We start from the raw sequence: 24,794 nt of genomic DNA, 5'->3' as shown, positions 1-24,794 counted from the left end.
TGCCAACATCATAGAGTTTCTGTTGAAGTATTAAATGAGTTAATTCATTGGAAGCATTTAGGATAATTTTCAGCACATAGCAAACTCTCAAAAAACTCTAGCTCCTTCTTGTATTATTATTTTTACTATCATTGTCATTATTATCATAGACACTTGTTGCCTTTATGAATAGAAACAGATACTAGCACTAACAGAGACTTCTTTGCTCCTTAACAGACAGGTTATTATGCACATGTTACGAAGAGAAAAAGAAAGGCTCACAGAGGAGAGATGTCTGGTTGATGTGTCATTAAGTCAATGGCCATGAAGGAGGGAGTGTGGTACAGCAGAGCTAAGCTCCCACTCCCTATTGCAACACTTGGTGTCCTCTATTCTGGGTTACCAGAACAGGCAGCATCTCTAACTCCCTTGCCTGCAGGAGGAGGGCTAAGCGTCCCTGGGTAATGCGTGTGATGCTCCTATGAAGTTGCATTGGCTCATGCTGATAGAACCCCTTAATTGTGCCAGCAAGTAGTGCTGCTGCTCTGACTTCTACCAGCAGAGCCAGTGTGTTTCAGGGACCCACCTTTTGACCAAGGAACTGTAACTTCAGAAAAGATAGCCCAGGTAACAGGGCTTGGCCAGCCAACATGTAGTCATATAACTAAGAGCTATGAGGATTACACTTCCTAAGGGCTTGGCCAGCCAACATGTAGTCATATAACTAAGAGCTATGAGGATTACACTTCCTAAGGACTTCCCAACTGGCTATCCAATGAGCCACAGAAATTAAATGTGGATCATCACATGGTACTGCAAAGCCCTCTGAAAAACACTGTCTAAATGGTGGCCATCCAGACGACCTGAGCTGGAAGGGGCTTCGAAAAGCATAGAACATAAACTTGCCATTATACAAATAGAGAAATGAAAGCCCTGGGAGGGAAGTGGCCTATATAAAGACACTGAGTTGCTCAGGGGCAAAACCAGAAGCAGAAAGCAGACATCTGCCCCCTACCCCTACTCTAGTGGTCTTACCCTACAATGACACAAAAAGTCCCTTTGCACTGAAGGATCAACCATGTGCTTCCTCTGAGTCAAAGGGAAATCTTTGTAAGCCACACTTGACTTAGTTTATCTCTCACACATATAAGGGTATCAGTGCAGGTCCCCAGCAAGAGAGTCTACGAAGTGTTCTCCTGTGACTCTAAAGACCACTTTGCAAATACCAACTTTTCACCTGTAGACTTAGTTACCACTTGAATATGCCACATGCTGCCAACTGGAAACAGGGATAACAGTAGATTTGGTACAGCCTGTTAGCCCCCAAACCCTGAACTCCACCTCCTAAATATTTCAAAACACGGATGTTTCATATTAAAATCTATATAGAAAAATATCTTTAAAACTCAGAACATAATAGCAAGGATGTTAACAATAACTGGCTATGCTGGGCCCTCATTTTCACATGACAACAGTCATTTGGAGCCTAATGGCAAAAGGCCCTTTACAGAGGGGCTTCCAAGTCTCTACCTGGCCCACATCTTCCTTGCCATTATCTTCTGGCCCCTGCATGCATCCGAATTTGAGACCTAGGTCTATGTAGCAGTCATTTTCTTCGGTGCATCTTGTCTGCCCAGGTGAATTGCACATTTCTGAAAGCAGGAAACTCCCTCCCTCAAAACATACTTTGCTCAGAGGTAGACATTTTTAAAAGATTGTTCAACAGCCTAAAATTACCTTTCCACCTTTTTGGCCTTACTTTAGTGTAAGAGACTTTAATATTTGTGGACTGAAAATGTGTTACCCTGCCACTTACTTTCCCTGACCCTGCAACTATCTTAGGAGTCTGGTATTTTAAAATTCTGTGCTATGTTTTGGTTAAAGGTTTTCCAGCATTTTAAAGATAGTTCAGGGTTATGTGTTGTATCCAGAGAGCGACATTGGCATAACCAGCCTCCGACCACACACGCGGTGCCTCTCGAACAGCTTGACAAAAGCAGCTTGCTCACTGTAAGAATCTCACTGGTAATTCCCACTATATTTCTGCAGGGTAGCCTGAAAGTAATTATCCTTCTCACTGGTAAATCAATTAGGAATGCAGGATGTAATATTCCCCTCCTCCTCCAAGAAACTGCTAATCCTCTAACACTAATGAACAGAAAACCCCAGGCAACAGGGTTACCACTAATAGAGTGATGATTACAACTCACCTGGTCTTTATACCTGTGGTAGTGGCACCAACCCTGTGGGCAGATAGAGGTGAACAGGAATCCTGGACCCCCTCTTATTAGCTATTTTCCAAAATTAAGTGTCTATCTGCTTGAGCCTCAGTTTCTTCGTCTGTCAAATGAGGATAAAACTACCACGCTCAGGAGATTAATAGTAAAACTTAGAATAAAGTGTAGTAAGGAACTTAGCCCAGTGCCTAGAACTTATTAGAAGCTCAATAGAAAGAACTCATTAGCCTATACTGATGTCAGACCTTATAGTTTTCATCACACACACACACACACACACACACACACACACAGAGAGAGAGAGAGAGAGACATGTACCTCTAACTATAGTAATTTGGTCACATTCTCTGGCTGTTAGACCAGTGTGTGCTCTCTGCCATTTCCAATGCACTGTCTCCAAAGTTGCAGGTGGCAGTCACTTTGGAGCCAGAGTAATTAGACAATAACATGCCTGCATTTCTCTGTCCACTCAAAGATTCATTCTCAAATAAGCTCGCCCATGGGAGTCAGGCTCCTCTCTAGTTAAGGCACAAAGCCTTCAGCCTGTTTTTACAAAGCACAGCAGACTTGACCTTGGCACTTGCCATTCTGCATGGGCCTGAGGACAAGAAACAACTGACAGTAATGAGTTCTGGGAACCCAGGGATGTTTATCTCATGCAAGGGGAAGGAGAAGCTGTGAGCTAGAGCTTACTAGCCCCACCATAATGGAGCCACTCCTCTGGGAGGCAAACCATACACTCTCTTGCTTCCAGAGCTAATATACTATTCCTCATCTTCAAGTACCAACCAGACACATTCAGCAATTCTGGGCTCCCATAAGGAAGTTGGGCTCAAACCTGGGCAATGAGTTAATTGGCCAATGGCTGGAGAAAGGCAAACAACCGGGTATACAAAATTCACATCAAATAGTCAGAGTGGGTCAAGGTCATTAAAATAATGCTGATGCCACCATGCCACAGAACAGCAGTCTAGGACAACTTTGACTGAAGCAGCTTCGTGCATTTCATATCAATACTCTCATTTAGACAGGGAATTATAAAACCCGCTAGATGAAATGATTATACCCTGCTCACAGCCTGTGATAAAGACAGTACTCCCAGTCTAAATCTCAGCTACCTCCAGGAAGCCCAGAATTGCTGAATGACTAATTTGTCCTCAAAATAAACCCATTGGGAAAGCTGCTGTAGATCTACCATTTATAGCAATATAGTCTTGGGGTAATTTATCAAAGTCTATTTTCTTACCCTGCCTACTTTCAAAGTGGCTGGGAGGATTAGAGATCATGTGGATAAAACTCTTAAAAGGGAGTTTAGGATAGTAGCTGCTCAGTTAGTGCTACCTGGGATGATTACTGGTAGAAGGAAACTATACACAGGTTAACACCTCTGCTTCCTTCCAACTTAATGGTTAATTAACTATCAGTATTTGGATAATTTTATGTTGTTCAAAATTGTTTAAAAAATCAACAATTAGCTTTGGGAGCAACTACATGAATACAAACTCAATTTACTGTTTTGCCAGGGGCAACAGATCTCATTTGATGTATTCATAGCCTCCAAGGAAAGCAGCAGCCATCTGTTAAATAAATAACTCATTAGGTGAAAAGCAAGTGCTTCTACAAGATGAACTCAAAAATCCACGAGAGACTACTGCCATTGGCTGACTGATGAAATGGGTTGCTACAGATAATTTGGGTACTAACCAAATCTAAACCATCTTGCCTAACACAAGCTGAGATGAGTATCCATATTACCATAAGTTTAAACTTGAAGACGTAAAGAAGGAAACTTAAAAACGAAGTTGTGTTACATGGTTCCAGAGCTCTAGACTAATAAAGGAACAAATAAGAGTATTTTTATTTATATCAAATTTTCTTTTTGCCTAAGTGGCTGGAGAAGGGGGATTTCTGCTAAGCTGAATATACTGGTTACGAGAAAGTTAGAATGTAGACTACGTGTGCACTGTCAACATCAAGAGGCTCAGATTACAATACATACCACTTAGTAAAATGAAAATGAATCCAATTTCATTTTTTCTTGGATGATGAGGAAAGCACTTTAGATCATGTAGGACCCTTATGAACATTAATTTCTTTTTTTTTTCTTCAGACGGAGTTTCACTCTTGTTGCCCAGGCTGGAGTGCAATGGTGTGACCTCTGCTCACCGCAACCTCCACCTCCTGGGTTCAAGCGATTCTCCTGCCTCAGCCTCCTGAGTAGCTGGGATTACGGCATGTACCACCACGCCTGGCTAATTTTGTATTTTTAGCAGAGACAGGGTTTCTCCATGTTGGTCAGGCTGGTCTCGAACTCCCGACCTCAGGTGATCTGCCCACCTCAGTCTCCCAAAGTGCTGGGATTACAGGCATGAGCCACTGTGCCTGGCTACAAACGTTAATTTCTATTGCTATTTTCTAAAAAAAAAAAATCCATGCCATTGGCCTGTTGCTTATTTTTCCCCAATCTGAGTGAAGAAAATGTCTGTATGTTTAACTTTCTGGGTGGCAGTGCCTCCCAGATGGGAGTTAACTACACTTTGGTGATGTTTCTCAGACCAGACAACAAAATAGGCCTAACTTCTGTTTATTGAGCACTAGTTTCTGTGAGAAATGGCTCCTGAGAGCCCACTGCCTGAATGTCACCATGAGGAAGGATAAATGGAGGTGGTATCCCCGTGCCAGTGAGAGCCAAATCTCAACTCTACGTTCCTTCCAACCCACAGAATCTGCCTTAATCCATCCCTTGTCTCTATCACTTCTAAGAACTTCTTAGTTGCACTAAGGAGAGTTCAGACTGTCAGGAGTAGAAAAAAACAGCAAAAGACAAAAAGAAACATCATTATGATATTTTCGAAGAGGAAACATACATGACAGATGAATTCCAAAACAGATACAAACAGGTACAAACCTTCACGAGCCACTTAGGAAAATCCTCACAAAAGTGGCCTATCAATCATCTACATGAAAATACGATTAATTCTGTTGTGGCCCAGATACAAGACAGAGATCAGCGCTGTAGGGCACTTTTCATGCACCAAATATCCAGTTCTTGCTTCGCCCAAAGTGCATATGCCCACTGAGATCCAGTATGCTCAAGGCACTTGTGTGGGATGGGAGGAGCACTAAATTAGGAGTCATCAGACCAACTGACAAGGCTGCTCCTAACCTGTTGAGTTGGCTGGGTGGGGCAGTTGTCCTCTGTGGGCCTCTGCTTCCTTCTCAAGAAGGGAGAAGGGCAGGAGAAGAACTGAAAACCATCACTGCTGGCTTGATTCAGTCAACTTTAATCATGTGCCCATCAAGGACATGGCACCAAGCTTTAATTCAAGATCATAAAGCAATTTTGAACCCCTACGCTATCACTGTACAAGAAGAAAAGCTGCAAAAGATGAGCTGATGCAAATACATCTGGCCTGACAATCAAGAGTCCTGGGTTCTAATCCTGGCTCCTTTTTCTATCTGGCTATGTGAGTTTTTTTTGCTTCAATTTTCTCATCTGTAAAATGTTGTTGGCATGGAAAAATGATTTCTAACCGAGACTCCATGGATATCTTGGGTTCATGAGTGGGATCTGAGGTGTCCACGAAGTCCTCAAAATGTATGAAAATTTTTGTGGCATAGGCATATTTCTAGAGAGGCCACCTAGAACTTTAATCACATGTGTAAAAGACTTGCAGTCCAAAAACTGTTAGGCACACTGTTGGTGGGAATGTAAATTAGTATGGCTATTATAGAAAACAGTATGGAGTTCCTCAAAAATTAAAAATAGAGCTACCATATGAACAAGCAATTCGACTACTGGGTATATATCCAAAGAAAATGAAACCAGTATGTCCAAGAGATTTCTGCACTCTCATGTTTATTGCAGCACTACTCACAACAGCCATGATATAAGATCAACCTAAGTGTCTATCAATGGATGAATGAAGAAAATGTGGTACGTAGACACAATAAAATACCATTCATCCATAAAAAAGGAAATCTTGTCTTTTGTGACAACATGGATGAACCTGAAGACATTATGCTAAGTTAAATAAGCCAGACACAGACAGACAAATACCATTTGATCTCACGCATATGTGGAATCTAAAAGAGTTAATCTCAGAATTAGATAATAGAATGGTGGTTAACAGGGGTCGAATGGTTAAAGGGGAGGCATGTTTGGGAGACATTGGTCAAAAAATACATAATTACAGTTATATAGGAGGAATAAGTTCAAGATATCTATTGTAGAGCATGATGACTATAGTTAATGGCAATATATTATTTTCTTGAAAAATGATAAGAGTAGATATTAAGTATTATCACCACAAAGTAACTGTGAGTTACTGCATTTGTTAATTAGCTAGATTTAACCATTCCACAATGCATATGTACTTCAAAACAGTATGTTGTACAATATAAACACATACAATGTTATATGTTAATTTTAAAATAAACAAATTAAAAGAAACTATTAATAACCACTTGTCTAGGTGAAATCTGTGCTTTCTTCTAGCTCTAAAATCCAATAATTTAAATAATGATACTGAAAGATGTGAAAATGGCAATGCTTTGGGACAAAGAAAAAAGAAACTACTCAAATAAAATCAATAACAGGTGCCTAAACAGCCAGCCTGATGATCAAAGCTTTGGCACTTGGCTAGTGGGCACAGTCTAGGGCCTGAGAGTCCCTAGAGCTAACTGGATCCTTTGGCTATCTATCACCAATGCTGAACCATAAGTCAACAATTCTGCTCCCTCCCTTTGCTGGGTGTACTTAGGGGCACTAGAGGTGGAGGTGAGGAGAAAGTCTATGGATGCACATTATTCTGCTAGTGGCTCAGGTAAAAGCTGCTCTGCTCTGAGCAGCATAAACAGTCATAATTATCAGCCACAGTTTGGACTCTACCATGTTAGAAATCAGAGACATCCGCACAATGGTTTGAAGCTTGCTCCTGAGCTTACCTTGAGGAAGAAAGCACTGGCAAAACCACGGGGGAATGCAAATCAGATTGCAAGAGGAGAGCTTGGTGGTGCCATTTTTTTTTAGCCTTTTAGAAATATTAAAATGACCTTTAATATGGTCATTTTGGTGCATGTATTTGAATCATGTCTGCCTACGTTTCTAAATAGCAGTGCTTTCTTAGCTGGAGAAAGAGCACATCTCCCCAAAGATAATACATGGTGCAGTATTTGTTTTCTAAAACTGCCCATTGTTCCACAGAATCCAGGCCTCCTCCTCTCAGTAGATTTCCATGGCCAAGGTCTGACCTTATATGATTTCATCCTGGCTGCTAAATCAAGAGGAAAGCAGAGAAGCAGAGGTGCCAGAGGAGTCTGGTCTGCCCTCTGCCTCAGAAGCAGCTCAGGATCAAGTTGAAGAAGCCAGGAGCTGCCTTTCTTTCCTTCACGTGGGAGAAACAATCTCCCTTGGAGTAAGGGGTTCTCAAAAAATGTACCAGCAAGAGGAAGGCTGTGGAAAGACTCAACTCTGAAGCTGAGCAAACCCATGCTTACATTCTAGATCTGTTACTTACCACCATCTGATTCAGGGTAGAAAGTTACTTCATCTCTCTGAGCTTCTCTTGCAAAATGGGGACCATAATAGTTTCTATCCCATAGATTCATTGTAACGATAACTGAGATAAGACATAGGTACATAGTTTTACTGGTGGCATTACTATCACTGCTGCTGTCACTATTATTATTATTACTATCAAGCTTGTTGTTAGAATTACAAACAGCGTTTATGAAGTTCCCAGCATATAAACCAGACCTCTGTAAATGATTCAATGACAACTGAGTTTTTTCCTTAACCTCTGGCCCTAATCAGCACAGCTACCCAGCAGGAGTGCTCAGGACCTACTGACCCAGTCTCTTACCTTCCTTTTGTTGGTTGGATTGACATAGAGGTAACTGAGGACAGTCTTCAAACCCACTTTGTCATTCAGCTTTTCATAGGTGGTGCCATAATCTGTCGACCTGCAGGTAAAAGAGAAAACAGAGAGGGAGAGATCATTTTACCAATGGGCAGCTATGTCTAAAGGGAAGCCAGGTTCTCCCTCGACCGACCAGCACCTTTCTTCCCGAATCATATGAGTGCTTCAGAGATAAAAAGCCCCATTAATTTTAGAAGAGCAATTAGACTAATGCACCTGCTTACTACCTAAGCGTGCTCCCCTTTGCTTCCAGCCTTTCTCAGGACCTACTTTTTCGCCCTTTGTGAAGTTGTTTGGTGAAAGGAGCTGCTGGAGACGGCCTGACTCTCATGCTGCTCAGCCCCGCCCCACCCCCCCACCCCAGCTCTGTGTGGAGTTGTGGAAGCACACAAGTTCCCACCAGCGGACCCTCTATACGGGAGTTGTGTGTGGAGGCCATGGGAGCATGGCCAGCTGTCTCCTGAGGTCATCACCAGGGTACAACCAACTTCAACCCACTCCATTGAGCCTGAAGCAAGGGACCCTTGGAGGGGTAGGAAGTGCCCAGAAAACTTATGGGGTCCAATGGCTAAATGAGACCACACCAGGCAGAGGGTTGGATGCTTTACACAGGGACAACGATGTGGGTGTGTCCAGGGTGAAAAGCCTATGGCACTGGGCTGCTTACAGAGGAGGGGTTCATCACTCCAATGATCCTGCTGGCTACCTGCTCCTCCTTTCCAGCACACTGACCTATGCCAAAACCAGAAGTAGAGGCTCCTTTCTTTCCATCCTGCCTTCCATGGTGGAGGAGGGAGAGAGGGTGCCAAACAGTGGGATTCAAGTAGTTGACCTCCCTGCCATACTGTTCACCTGTCCCCAAACCCTGGCCCACAGAGACCTCCCTCCCTTTTTCCACCACCTGTATCATCAGTTCTCACCTCCTCTTCCCGTCATCACTGTCCTTGGCTAGACTTACAAAACTTCTCCAACTCAAGCTTTAGAAGAGCACAGAGGTCAATGCATTTTCTCTGTACTCAACTGACCTTATAGGGGCCTGAAATCCGCCACAATCTCAGTTCCCAACTCTGGCTCTGAGCCTTGCTTTGAACTGGCATTTGATGCCCTAGTAACCACCACCCCCAGCCTTTGCTTTGAGCCTTTATCCACCTTCTAATGCTAATCAGTGCTTCCCTGGCCAACAGCTCAGCTTCAGAAGCTTAGTACTTAAAACTATATAACCTTTGTCTTTTTTTTAAGAGACAGGTGCTCACTCTGTTGCCTAGCCTGGATGGAGTGTAGTGGCACAATCATAGCATCACATCAGCCCGATGGCTTGTGCCTCAAATTCCTGGGCTTAAGCCATCCTCCCACCTCAGCCTCCTTCCCAATGTGATGACCCTTAACAGTCACCCCCACCCTCATCCAAGCTGGCAGATTCCTGGTCCCTGGGCCCAGTGTAAACACCCACCTGCACCTCCTCTGTAAAAGCTTCTCTAGCCCTCCTCCCAATCACCGCTCCTCTCTTTTCTGCACCAGAACAGATTTCCCCATCCTTAGGCACCCAAGGCACACTGTACATGCCTCTTCTCTAACTCTTCAATAGTGTCATGATTGATTTCTCTATGCTCTGTTTCCCCAAGCACAATGTAGGCTCCTCAAAGAATTAAAGAACATCACAAAACTCCCTTCATAAGAGGAAAGAACATGAATTTTGGGTGTAGCAAAATCTCTGTTTCATTCTACATCCATAGCTCTCTGGTTGCATGACCATGTGCAAGTTATTTGCACCACTGGAGCCTCAGGTTCCTTATCTGAGGGATGAAGATTCCGGGTGTGGTGACGCACGCCTGTAATCCCAGCACTTTGGGAGGCCGAGGTGGGTGGATCACCTGAGGTCAGGAGTTTGAGACCAGCCTGGCCAAGATGGTGAAACCCCGTCTCTACTAAAAATATAAAAATTAGCTGGGCATGGTGGCACACACCTGTAGTCCCAGCTCTGGGAGGCTAAGGCAGAAGAATTGCTTGAACCCAGGAGGCAGAGGTTGCAGTGAGCTGAGATCGCACCACTGTACTCCAGCCTGAGTGACAGTGAGACTCCGTCTCGGAAAAAAAAAAAAAAAAAAAAAAGAATGGGGATAATTTAGTCTCATGAGGCATTTGTGAGGTTACAAAAATATAAGACATGGGAAACCTCCTAACAGAATGCAGGTATACTAAAATGTTAAAAAATAAACAAAAGTGAAGAGGCATTCATTCATTTCTCCTTTCTCCAAAATGTACAGCACAAAGTTTTACACATTATGCACACTCAGCACGTTTCACGTTTACTGAATAAACAAATATCAATATTTCAAACCCCTCCCTAGGCTACTGGCTCCACATGGTCATGAGTTATGCTAACTTTAATCATCAATCCCCCAAAAGCTGACTTATTCTCTGACTCTTGTCTACTGCAGGCACAGAAGCTCTGGGAATCACTCCCAATCTTTCTCCTTGCCTTTCTACAACGCAGATCACTCTTCAAGTCTTAATAATGCTATTTCCTAAAAAACTTAGACCCCTGGTATCCTTTCCATCATCACACCAATGCTGTGGCTCATACATCATCATGTTTCAACGATCCCCCAATTTGATGCTCTTCTTCCAGTCTTCTCCCTCCCCCATTCATCCTCCATGCTGTTACCAGGCTATTTTTCTACCCCAGATCTGTCCACCTCACTCCTTGGTAGTAATTGCCCAATGCACACAGTCAAGCTGAATCTTCCAAGCTTAAGTCTTGTAAAATCTGGCTTCAACGTCCCTTTCTGGACCCATTCCCAGCCACTTGCTCCTCTGGCCCTTTCTCTCCAGCCTCGCTAAACTTTCCTGAGCATGTCCTACATTCTCACTGCCCTCCGCTGCTGTACGCATCATCTCCTTGTCCGAACTATCCATCCCTGTTTCCTCTACTTGGCAAATTTTCCTCCAACCCTCAACATCTAATTCCAACATCACCCTTTTCCAGCTTTCCCGGGGGGGATTAATCACAATCTCCTCTGTGGTCCCGTACTATCTTGTACGCATTTCTATTTAAGCATTTATCCTATTGGTTTGGCTACACTGTCCTTATTCTGGGATCTCTTCCTTGGCTGTAACTCCTTGAAGACTAGAACCATGTTTTTAACAGCTCCAGTGTCTTGCACCATGCCTGGTACAAAGCAACTGCTGAAAGTAATAGTTTTTGTATTGTTTTAATTTGTCTTTATTTGTAAGAATGAATGGATGAATGAGATTGTCCAAACCTACTCACAAGTTTTTAACCAACTACTGATGTCTAGTGGTAATTCAACACACAGCAAACAATGCCTAGAAAACACGCTTGAGGCTTTGGATGCTAGCACAACAGTGCAGACGGTACAGTCTAGCAAGGTCTGTCCTAGGGAAGGGTCTGTAATTCACTTGTAGTAGAATTACGGTTAAATGACAAATCACCCTGAGCAACTATCCTAGGCAGTGCAAGACTGGAGATAGACCATGATCTCTAGAGGCTGTCATTTGCATTTTTATTAATCCAAGTAAAATATTTTACAGAGTTAATTACTTCTTAATTCTACACTCTTGAAGGCATTAAGGCAGCATGGTGTGGAGAAAGAACATTGAAGCTGGAGCCTAGAAGTCGAGACTGTAGAGCTGATTTTCAAATGCACTCAACGTGTTACCCTGCACAAGCCACTTTTAGAAGGCTGTTAAAAAATTATTCTGACACTGGTTAAAATGATTAAGTAAACTTTATTCAGGACTACTGCAATATGTAGAGAGACTACTGCAATGGGATTTTGCAGTAGGGGAAAGACAGGGCTCAACTCCAAATAGAAAAAGGAAAAGTGGGAATTTTTTATCAGAGGCAGAGGAGAGGTCAGTGGATGAAAAATTGCTAACAGGGGAGGGTAATTCTTTGTTACTAATCTAACAAGTTTCTTGCTGAATGCAGGCCAGGGTGATCAGATATTATCTAGATTATAGTGGAGGATGAGGACTTTCATTAGCAACAGAGGCTGGGAGATTCTGGCTAACATGACTTAGAAGGATTCTTGTTAAAAAATTGGACTCTTGAGAACATGCCCAAGCAGGGGAGCCTAGTTAAAAAAAGAGCTCAGAGGATCCTAACTCAAGTTTGGTTAAGGAAAGCATCTTTGTCAAGCTCCATTCCATCATTAACACAAGAGGTTTACTTACATAATCCTAAGGTCCCTTATGGGATCTTAAATTTTATTAAACCACCAACACAATGCTAAGTTGTTTTCCAACTATCATCTTTTTCTCATACTATCTATAGCAAAAGTCTTAGAAGAGCTAAATTCTCAGGGATCCCTGCAGGACTGATGGAAGTCACAACAAACTTCCTTCCCGAATCCAAATAACTCTCACAAAAGATAGTACGCTGATCATCACACATGGTCTCACTTTCACAAGCTGCATGACAGATTAACACTGACTTTGCTATTTTCCAAAAGTGGCTGCTGAAAAGAGGGACTGCCCAACAAAGGACACCCTCTATGTCTCAGTCTCCTCCATGCCTCTGGCAGGTTCTGCTCATTTGGTCTCAGAGGAACAAGTCCTATTTGATGAAGATACCTCAGGGAGCCTGGGAGCCTATGGAACCAACAGTGCCCTCGACTCTGTCCTTTCCAGGATGGCCACTGCACACTGCCCTGACCACAGCATTCTGTGGGCCCACTTGGCCTGGGGTGAGGGGCAAATGGTAGAGAGGTCTCAGCCCCATTGCCAGAGACATTTATGCTGGCAGAACTTGCTCTTACAAGAAAGCAAACCATCCTCTCTACTTTGTGATTCCAGACATCAGCCAGTGGGGTCACTTAGAGAAAACAGGCTCATCTCATCAATTTTAAAGCTAGCCTCCCAAATCCTGACACTAGGTTCATAAGACTGAAATGTTCAGAACACTGGAGCCATGACACCAGTGCCCTGAGCCAGGCATGGGCCTGGCACTCTGCCAGTTACCATTCTGAATTGTTCAGTGCACACAACTAACCTGGAAGGTGGCGCATGAGGTCAGTGTAGCCACGGGGCTCTGGCTCCTGTACCCTGGCTCCAGTTACCCCAACCCCACTCCACTGTCACGTGTGTGTGCACACACATGTGTGTCTCTATCCCTTGTTCTTTTTTTCTTATTATTTCCAGCACACAGAAAAACACAATGCAATGCCCATCATTTGGCCACTATTAGATTTAACAAGTGTTTGTGTGCATAAACAACACATAACCTTTTTGAGTGTTTCTACATGTACATAAGTGTTCTCACATAGGATATATGTTCAGCAGCTTGCTTATTTCACCCAACATTCGGCTTGTGAGATGTATCCGTGTTACATACCTAGTGGTCATTCATTCACTTTAACTGCTATCTAGTGTTTCAGCTTATGAATAAACCACTGCTTATCCTTTCAAACCACTGAGAAGTATTTTTTTTAATTTGCTATTATAAACAATGTTACAACAAACATTCTTATGCGTGGCTTCTTGTGTATTTGTGAAGAAAAGTTTTTCTGGGGTGACGTCTCTGTGTGGGTCACCTCAGGGCATAACTTCTACTTCACTGGCTATTTACAACATCTTCTCCAAGGAGACTGTACCTCCAAAGAGACACTGCTCCTTGGTTTCACCGCCTGCTCAGGCACCTGCTCATCATCTGGCAGGTCCTGCCAGCTACCTGTCACTCACGCTACTCTCCAGGTACCTGATGCTGACTGGCAGACTGGACATCCTCCCTCTTCAACTTCGTAGAGGTGCTTGGGACTATTCTATGGCATCAACTCCTAGTCTGAGTCCTGAAACTGTTCACTGAGTTCTTGTCTCATCCAGAGGCATTCCGAAGGACTTAGTGCGGACTGGTACATTGTGGGAGGAACCCCCAGTCTGACCTGCCATACACTTGGTCATTCCCACAGGGCCACTTTCCCACTGACAATTTCAGTCAGGAGTGGAGGTGTGAGTTATCGTATGCTTTTTACCTACCCAGCAAGTTCACTACTCCTCTAGTGATCTTCTCGGGGAGAGGCTGGTGGCAATAAGAATATGGGCTATTTTAAAAGAAAAAAAAAAAAACAGAAAAGACATCCAGTCGATGCAGCCAAGTCAGCCTCTCAGTAGAGCTGAACTGCAGCTCAACCTCCCTGTCCTAATGCCCCATTCTGGCCAGAGATAGACACTCTGCCAGCTCTCACGGGGCCATCTGATGTTCTCAATCTGGGTGAGCACATGGCTTTCCTTATCCAGTCAGCACCTTCTTCTGGTGTTTACCACCCTGGTCCTCAGTCCTCTCCTCATTTCTTCTCCTCTTCTTGCCCCTGAGCTCTGCAAAATTAAGGATCATTAACCCTGGCATCTTTCACCAGTCAGAAGTCATCTCCTCAGTGGCCTGCCTTCTGAGGGATACAATCTAAAACTGGCAAACAATCTAAAATTGGCAAACAACCACAGTTGTGGTTGTTCCTTTCCTCTCAGCAACTTCTGCGTTGCCATGTTTGGCTCATTCCTTTGCATATATTTATCAACCACGGCATCTGACATGGGCTAGGCACACTGTGCTTTGCTTCCCCTTTCCGGCCATTTAAAGTAGCTCTAGCTCAGGTTGGCAAACTTTTTTTTCCTGTAAAACAACCAGATAGTAAATATTTTGGGTTTTGTGGACCTCCGCCACAACTACTCAACTCTGACCTTTTGCAGCTCCAAACAAGCCAAGCACAATAGCAAAATGAAAGGGTGCTTTTGCAAAAGCAGGAGGGGTATGATTTGGTGGTGCTGCTCTAGCTGGTATCAGCTAGAGGTAGAGAATATCAGCCTCCACCTCTGTCCCACCCCCGAGTCATGTTCTCACCCTGCTTTTGTCTCTAAGACAACTTCTCAAGATTTCTGCCTGGATCTCTGATACCCTAGAGCATCCTTCCCTGCCTGGCTGCCACATCAGGTCAAACATCTGCCTCTGTCTGGCATTCAAGGCCTTCGTAGTTTACCTGCTTTGCTTTACCATTGCCTCCAATGTTCAGATTGTCTCCTTTTTTACTCCCAGCTCCAGTACTCATTGTACTACAAAGATCTTTCCTATAATTCCCACCCACGCCCTCCTCTGCATTTACACCAATTGCACCTAAGAGCTCCCTATTTATTCTCTGAATATACATGTGTGCTTTTGATATTTTCAGCAATTGCTAAAAGCTTCTCAAAAGAACAGTCACAAATGAATTTTTTTTTTAATTTCTGAAAGTGCAGAGCACAGTTCTACATAAAGAAAACAAGCAGACTGGAGTAGTACAAAGACAACTAGACTCAGAGCCAGATCTAGCTGTGCAAGCTTTTCATGTCTCTGAACCTCAGCTCAGACAATAGAGTTGTTGTTATTCAGATTCAATGAAGAGTAATAAGATACCTAGCTTAGCATCTGCTAAAAGCCCTTGTTCCATAAATGCTTATGGCTGTCATTTTTATGAATACCCCTGATTGTATTGTCCTCAAGGGAAATCACCTTGTTTTCTTTTTCTTGATTTGCACTACTTACACTTAATAGGGGTGAGGCACACGGATACCCAATAAATCATTAAAGGATCTGTGGACACTGTTTCCAATTGTCACCATAAGTGTATGATAAGACCCAGTTGCCTGGAGAATCAAAAGATACAACTATGCTTCCAAGTGCCAGGCCTTGGGGAGCACCCACTAGCAGCTCCTTCAGGTGTACTCCACTGAGATACACTGAGGATTGTCAACAATCAAAGACCATAGGCTATTAGGTGCTCTGGTGTGTGGTGAACCACAGCCCATTCCAAGGTCAGCGTCAGGAGTTCCCACAGCACAGCTCCAGACCAAAGACTTCTCAGAGAGTTGTGATGGAAAAGCATTAATGTTTCCCTCTGGCCTATTCCACTCCTCATTTTAGGGCCAGTGCCCAAAGTCACATTAATCTGTATCTTTGCAATGGCAGAAGCCCAGCCTGACCACAAATAACCATCCAGATAACTAATTTCAGACCTCAAGCCAAAAGTAAGTCATTTAAACAGCTTCATTCTCCAAGTGGGTATTGCCCCACCCTCTGCTTCAGAAACTCCACAGGAAGGTTGATGCCAGTGCAGAAGCTTACACAGCTCTCCCTGACCTCTTTTTACCCAACTCATGGCTGCATTGTTTAGTCTCACAAAGAGAGGCACAATGATACAGGATAATTAATTCGTCTCTATTTCCTCCTGCCCCCACTATTTGAATGAGAGCCATCACCGGTTCTAAATGCGGAAAATTGGAGGTTTGCTGTCTTTGGAGACCAGTCATGCAGAATTCATGGTTCGGATCAGATAAGTTGTAGACCCACCAGCAGCAGCTTCCCAGCACACGTCTCAGGTAGGACAGAGGCTGAAGTATATGGGGTTGGGCCAATATTCAGATCTTCAGTTTCTTTCTTTTCCTTTCTTTATTTGGTGTGAACACATTAGTTCTCACTGAAGACCTTCAGTTCAGAAAATAGGATGGTGAGTTGTTATATTTAGGTTTTAAAATGCCAAAAACTCTAACCTATCAGGCAAAAGACCTATTTGTATCATGCACGTAAGGGAAGGAAAGAAGCCCTCCAGGGAAAAGAAAGTGCACAAACAGGCCCATGAGAAGGTATGACAGCCCATAATTCACTGCATCTCTGTTGATATGAACATAACTGAATAACAATTATCAGGGAAAGGCTAAATAGAGTGTATTACACACACACACACACACACACACACAGTACTATACAGCAGCATTCAAGAGTAAGACAGATACCAGAGTTATTGACCTGAAAAGTCTCTAAGACATAATACTAAATATATTACACACACACAGTATATCCAGACACAACAAGGCAATACATTTCCATTAAGTTTATAAGCGTGTAAACAAATACATATAAAATCTAGTGGAAAATATATAAAACTACTAATAGAAGTTACCACTGGGTAGGGAACCGGGGTGGGCTGGGGTTAGGTAGCTAGAAGCACTTGAATTTACTTGTAATGTTGAGATGTTTTCAAACAAAAGTGTATCCAAGTATGACTCATGTAGTTAAAAATTATAGCAATAAAGTGATTGTTACCAAACAGTCACAATGTTAATCAACAAATTAACACATCTGTAGGAGAACCCAGTTACAGATAAGCTTCTGCGTTCAAAAAGGCAGACCAAAAGAATCACAAGAGGATTCATTTCAGAGTCAAGGAGATTTGGATTCAAATCCAGTCTGTGGAGCCTCAGACTAATTATATAAACTCATGTTTCATGTCTGCTCAATGGGAATCTAAATGTTGTGTTCTTAGGGCTTTTGTGAAGCTTATATAGCCCTACTATCAGAGGGTTCACTTCACTGTCTGTTGTTGGGCAACACCAAGGTAGACCAATAATATTATCACAGAAGGAGAAACTGCCTCACACATTTCTGGGCAAACAGCAGCTGTGTTATAGCTACATAACCCCCAGTGGACAGGCTAACGCCATCTCATTCCCACCATATCAGCAGTAAGCTACCAAAAGACACATGGGAGGATGGGGGGCCTGCTACATGTAATCAAAGATAGCCTCCAGCAGGTGGCCAACACTTAACAAATTAAAGTCCAGGGAAAACGAACCCAACTTTTCCACTAAGTTTTCCTGGGGAAAAAAATAATGAGGCCTACACTAGCAGGTGCTGGACAGTTTTAGCAAGGCATCACTGTCTAAAAAATAAATATGTTTATCATTTCTCTTTAAAATTACATAGAGCCAGTCGGGGCCCTGTGACATGTGCACAATTATGTCTGTTTGGGCACATCCAGAAACCTCCAGGATAAAATGTGCAGCCGCCCAATGAAGGAACATGAATAAATAGAGAGCCTTCAGACCACCTTCCTACCCTCAAGAAACTAAATTCTGTGTCCCACTCATCTTTAAATATTTTCCTTTTCTGTAATAAGCACAATGCCTTGCACATGGAAGGCACTCAATGCTTTCATTAATCACTTTTCAATTAATGCAAATACCTCCCCTCCCAGAGTCTTCAGCCCGGGAGAGAAGAGAGTGTCTCCTTCTGCCGCCATCCTCCCCGACGGAGCCTCTCATCTCACCTGCCTCTGCTTTCCCAGTGCTCAGCATCTTTGTCACTCTCAGAGAGCATCGTATCGGCTTTCTGGGACCACATCTTTTTCTCTTTTCTGCTGTTGTTTTATGCCATTATTTAACTTTGTGTGCATGACACTTCTTTCTCCAGACAGAATAAGGTCTTTGAAGTCAAGGGACTACCTTGGACGTCTCTTTTAACCCCTAAATCATGCTGAATAATGCCATGCAGGGTAAATCCTCAAACTGAGAAAATATGTCCCAGGGACTGAAATAGTCACATTCAGACAGATTCCCTTCTGACTGAAACTGTTCTGCTGTGAGAAACTAATAGCAAAGCAGATGCTCCTTTGTGCTGGACCAGTTTTACCAGTTGTCCTACTGGCCATCCAGAATAGAAAGAGGGCTAAAGTCTTCCAACACATGGTGTTTTCCAACACAGGCAAGAAGAAGAGGAAATTCCCAGTTTCCAAGGAGTGAATTACAGCTCTCCTTTTTGAGCCTCTAACACTATAGTAACTTCATCTCGTTTTGGGTCCAGAAACCTAAAACTTCATTTATCTCTTCCTTTGTAAAAATTATGGAGTGATTGCTCTGCTCTCTGTGCTGTGTTACATGCACATCATTTAAAACAATTGCCTATTGGATCCTACATTCTACACTGACTGTTCTTGACAACAGACCCGAGTAGTAGGGCATGAAAAACAATCTCAGTATTTTCTAAGCTTTCTTTTGAATGGCTAAGCAGGAAAAAGCAATTAGCTAGAAGTCGGATGTATTGTCAAGTCATAGAATATGCCTTAAACTATCACAGTGACTCTTAGAGAAGTGTCCCTTTCAAGATCTGAGGCAGTGTGCGCCTGAACCCACATGACATGGGCTGGCTCAGTAGACTGGTTACCACAGCCTTGGATAAAAGGAATGTCACACCCTAGAGTCTTTTAAAAAAAAAATACTGAAAATTTATGGTAGAAATACCCTTAAATTAAAAAAAAAATAATAACGCACAAGATAGCCACATCATATAGAAAAACTCAGTTAACATTTTGGTGTGTTTTTCTTTAACTCTTGTGTGTTTACAAAATTTGGGGTCATTATTTATAGAATTTGGGTCCTGATTTTCCATTTAACATAATATTGTAAGCATTTCCACATATTGTTACATATTTTTCAAAAATATCATTTTATTTTAAAGCCTTACAACATTCCAGTGTATGAATGCATCATAATTTACTTTAACTATCTTCTCTGGCCAGTTGGTCAGTTTCTAGCCAAAATCTTGTATTAAATAACTTGAATGTGTGTTGTCAGACATAAATATTTGTATGTATCATTATTTGTTTCCCTAGAATAGATTCATGTAAGTGTAATTACTAGTTCAAAGGATAAAAATTATCATTAAAGCTCTTGCTATAAAGTGCCTTACAGACATACTCTGGCCAGTCTGCACTTCTATTAACAATGTATAAAAGTACCAGTTTCACTGCATGCTTGCAACATTGGGCATTATCATCTTGAAATTCCTGTACATAGATGTTCTAAGATACCAAAGGACATACACATTGACGCCAAAGTGTGATAAAAATCTGAGACCTTTACTGTATCTCCATACCAGAATGTCTTTAACAGTGGTTGGTTCTCAAACTTTTATGACTCAGGACTCCTTTATACTTTTAAAAGTTACTAAGGACCCCAAGATATTTAATTCAAGTGTGTTATATCTAGCAATACATATTACAACAGAAATTACATCTGAGAAAAATTTACAATATTGACTCATTTTAAAATAACAATAACCCTGTTACATGTTAATATAAATAACATAATTTTATTTAAAAAACTATAGTTTCCAAAACAAAACAATTTCATGACAAAATTAGCATTCTTTTACTTTTCAAATTTTTCTTTCAAAGCTCTTTAATATCTGGTTTAATAGAAGATATATGGATTCTTGTATCTGTTTCTACATTCAATCTGTGATAATATCAAATATGCCAGGTAGCCTCTAGTAAACTCCACTGTACACTCATAAGAAAATAAGAGTTTAAAAAGCAGATAACATTTTATTATTATTAGAGAATAGTTTTGACTCTATCCATCCTCTGAAGAGAGTCATGGAGGCTACCAGGGGTCACTGAGTCATACTTTGAGAACTGCTGCTCTATGCAAAACAACTCCTGGGTCCCAAGAGGACTGTAACTTACAACATGCCTTTTTTTATTATTGTTAAATCTATGCCCAGTCGCGAATCTCCTCTCACTTCAAACCTTTACAGTTCAACTCCAGGCTCCTGTGTAAAGCCCTCTCATCTACCGTGCTCTTCTGTTATCTTTCCTTTCTCTGGTTTTCTATTGTTTTTATATATCTACAGCACAATTTGCCCTGTCCCCTCTGATTTCCATAGTCTCTTGTCCTCACCACAACTATAAGCTTCTTGAGGTCAAGGATCAAGACTCTGGCAGACACTTAGACTCTGTAATTAATTTCTCGGAAGACTGTCACCCTAAATCACTGTGGCATTAAGTAACTAACATTTGCATAGTGCTTTATACAAAACACTTTCTCTTAAAGCAGTTCACTGAATCCTCACTATGACCCTCTGACATAGATATTTTATCTCTGTCATAAAAATGAGGAAACAGACTCGGAGACGTTAAGTGACTGACCAAATGACAATCCTGGAACTTGAACCCAGGTCATATGATTCCAAGTTCTATGCACTCTACTTCAATGCCCGGCCATTTATTTAAACAATGGTAATTGAGCATCTGCTTCACAAAGTATCACATGGCAAGGGTTTCACTGATTCACCTGCTCAGGGGGTCTCCATGGTCATTTCCTATTGGAAAGCTATACAAGTATAAAAAGGAGAATGCTTGGAGTCAAAATTAGGTTAGAATTCCTGCTCTCCTACCTACTAGCAACACAACACCAAAAACACTGCCTAACCTTTCCAGGCCTCAGTTTCCCCATATCTAACATGGGCATAATAGTTGCCATCAAGCAGTGTTATTAGGAGGATTCAGTGAGAAAACCTACATAAAGCACAGGGCAAGAATCAGCTTAGTTTCTTGACAGGCTTTCATTCCTTCCTACAACTGTCTTACCACCATTCCCTGTTTCTCCTCTGGAAAATAACAATGACTTCACAAGATGAAGACAGCCACTTCCTATCATCTGAGTGATCTGACTATTGAACAGAAAAACATATTTTATCTCAGATAACTGGTTCTGGAGTCTTTGGAACAAGAAGGTTGCAGAAGCCAAGGAAAAAAGTATAACTGGAAAGAGAAGACAGCAATTTTCATGGTCAATCCATGCAAAAGCCTGCAAGGGCCTTGGCTCAAGGACCCTGTCCCTCACAGCCCACTCCCCTCAACATACACAAACATTCCTCAAGTCCATGACCTCTCAGAGTCACTGGAATTCAGCACTTTTCCAGAGATGGGTGCTCCCCTGGGTAAAGGGAGTGCTCAACTGGGCAAGTGAAGGTGCTGACAGGAGCCAGAGTCCCAGTCAGAAACAGAATGTATCTCAGCCAGTTAACAATCATCAGGACTGGCAGCAACATGGTCCTATCAGCCATCTTCAGTGGCTCACACTTAAGCATTCAGCAAGCCCCATGAGTTATGGTTGATTGGGTTTCTAGTCTTGTTGTTACAGACACTCTTTGTTTCCAACCAAAAACAATGCTTCACAGTTTGATTACTCTCTTTCTCTGTAAAATGAGATGGTTGGAATCAATGATCTCAAAAGTCCCTGCCATCCCCAACATTCTATGCATCTGATCAAGCTCCAAATGGCTTCTGGCTCCTTCCAAAATGCAGATCTATGCTCCAAAGATGCAGATCTGTCACCACTGAGAGGCCACTGAGGTCCTGCAAAAACTGCCTAAGTGAGGGCAATGTCTCTGGAGTAAGCATTCAGCTGTTCAAAGGTTTGCCAGCCTCTGCATCACCTAATCTAGGCACCAGTGGGAATACTGTCAGAAAGAATAATATGGTCTTAGGGAGACAAGACCATCTCTCACTAGATAACTAGAAAGCAAGGCATGAGCAAGGCCTGAAAGCCAAGGGCTGAAAAACATCATTTTAAATCTAATAACAAGACCACCAGGAAAGGCTGGGCAAGACGACATAGCACATTGGTGAAATTCAGAGACAGTCCTCTCCTGGAGAGACTGTAGGTGAGGGGAAGGTTTGAGGGGGAGATGGTAGTTAGGAAAGGGGCTCAAGAGTGCTATTAGATAAAACTCTGAGGACAAGGACCCTACTAAGTCTCCAGTGCACACTCCCTGATACATTGCAGGAACTCAATAAGTACCTTTAATGAATAAATAAGGGATAAATGAGTAGGAAGCAATTAAGCCAAATGGAATATATTACCAGAGTGGTTAAGTGCACAAACTTCGAAGTCACAGACATGGTTTCAATGCCTGGTTCCACCACTAGATACTTGTGTGATCTTGACCAGGTCACTTACCCTCTTTGAACTTCAGTTTTCTCATCTATAAAATGGGCAAAACTATCTAAAAAGTTTTTCCTGGGTTGTTTGGTAACTAAAGCAGGCAATGCACATGAAGCATTTATCACAATGTCATGCATATTATAGGCTCTTAATAAATGGTGGCCATTATTAATATGATGATGATGGTGACAATGTCAATGAAGAAGACAATGACATTTATTAGTGATAGAGGAGCTCAAAGTAAAGGAAGGAAGACTTCATGAAAAAAGTAGGCTTTGAAAGAGGGTTGAGTATTGGAAGGTCAACAGAAGACAAAGAGTATGCTCAAAGGCTTGGAACCTGAAAAATGCAAGTATTTTCAGAAGGTAATTAAGGAGACTGGGTAGATAATAAAATGTTCTTTCCCCGCCCCCCTCCCCCCACCCCAAGATAGAGTCTTGCTCTGTCGCCCACACTGGAGTACAGTGGCACCATCTCAGCTCACTGCAACCTCCACCTCCCAGGTTTAAGCAATTCTCCTGCCTCAGCCTCCCGAGTAGCTGGGATTACAGGTGCGTGCCACCACAGCTGGGTAATTAATTTTTTGCATTTTTAGTAGAGACGGGGTTTCACCATGTTGGCCAGGCTGGTCTTGAACTCCTGACCTCATGATCCGCCCACCTCGGCCCCCCAAAGTCCTGGGATTACAGGCGTGAGCGTCCGCACCAGGCCATAAAATGTTCTTACACGGGCATAAGAGGGGATAAGTTCAGATCAGTAGAATAAGATTATGTGGAGGCTCCTACATATCTGCTAAGAAGCTTGAACTTGTCTTACAAGAAATGAGATAGGAATATAAAGCCTGTTTGAAAGGACTAAGCTGTTAGTGATTTATATGATGGTTTGGTGAAGCATATGCTCCAGAGGTAGAAAGACTTGTCAGGAATCCATCTCACTATCCTGGATGACTGTAGGTTGCAAGAAATAAAAGACAGGTAGAAGAAGCATAATCTGTTTACTGGCATGGTCAGAGGTGAAGAAGAAGGAACAGGTAAAGATATCTTAAAGATACCAAACCTGAGTGCCTGAGAGAATTCTGTTATCACTGACAGAAACCAGCAGAGCCAGCATCTCTGTAGCACATTATAAACCAACTTTGAGAAAAAAGGAAAACATCCTAAGCTGGGTTCCCTAAAATCAGAGCCCAAGTCTGGGATTTGGAAGCTCAAGAACTATGGTGGGAGTGCTTTGAGGCAAAACCTAATGGGAGAAAGGGAAGCAAGACTGGAAAGAAGCAGAAGACAAACAAGGATGTGGTTTCCTGTGAAGCTTAATCCCCAGGGAGGCTCTGGGGCAGACACCTCACCACATACATGTCCCACTGTAAGGCAAGAGGGCTGGGCTTTTGTGCCCCATATCAGCTAGGCATTGGCCATCCTAGATGTAGGAAAATGGTAACCTCTGGAGATGGTCACAGCACTCAATGGCAGCTAATGGATGAGTAAAGAAAATGTTGACCTAATGCTTGGCACATTCAGCTCAATAAATGCCTTCTATTATTATTATCTTAGCATTAGGATGATGGCAAGATGTTCAAGATATCTGATGGATAAAAGAAAACAATTTTGAGCAAGTACAGTTATCTGCCTGGTATAACCCCTGTCTGGGAGAGTAATTCACTTCCCCTCCATTTCCTGACCTACTTTGTGGAAGCAACAGAAAGCTAAGTAGTTGTCATTTTCTGGGTTATCAACATTGGCCATGCAATTCATCCAAGGTGTGAGAGCATAACAGAAAAGTTAGGTGCAGCTTTCTACAAATGGGGAAAGTTAGGCTGTTTGCATATGAAGCACTGGATGTAGGTGGGAAAACTTGGCATGGATGCTCCATTTCTCCAAGGCTCCTGACATTGACTGCTAGCTCATACATCCCTGGCCTGAAACCCTCTCTCCTGGATGGAGCCTACCTGCGATGTTATTCTAACACATCTAGAACTCCATACAGCTGAATTTTCCTTTTATATGGCAGGAATCTCCCTGAAAGGATGTGTGTGAGTCTGTAAGTTTTAATGTGCCAGATAAGCTGAATTCTCTGTTTAAAAACTATATACTAAGTCCCATAG

The 24,794-nt window shown here is 42.5% G+C and overlaps 1 protein-coding gene across 1 annotated transcript in view; it reads right to left on the bottom strand.

Moving 5' to 3' along the window:
* Positions 1 to 24,794, bottom strand: part of SORCS3 (sortilin related VPS10 domain containing receptor 3) — a 623,953-nt gene that overhangs the window by 341,230 nt on the left and 257,929 nt on the right. The window contains exon 3 of the mRNA NM_014978.3: positions 8,081 to 8,180. Coding sequence (NP_055793.1) covers positions 8,081 to 8,180 — 100 coding nt within the window. The remainder of the gene's footprint in view (positions 1 to 8,080; positions 8,181 to 24,794) is intronic.

The sequence above is a fragment of the Homo sapiens genome, chromosome 10 (assembly GCF_000001405.40).
Source record: "Homo sapiens chromosome 10, GRCh38.p14 Primary Assembly".
NCBI lineage: Eukaryota > Metazoa > Chordata > Mammalia > Primates > Hominidae > Homo > Homo sapiens.
Note: the sequence above shows the minus strand (reverse complement) of the source record. Positions and strands in the feature narration are given on the sequence as shown.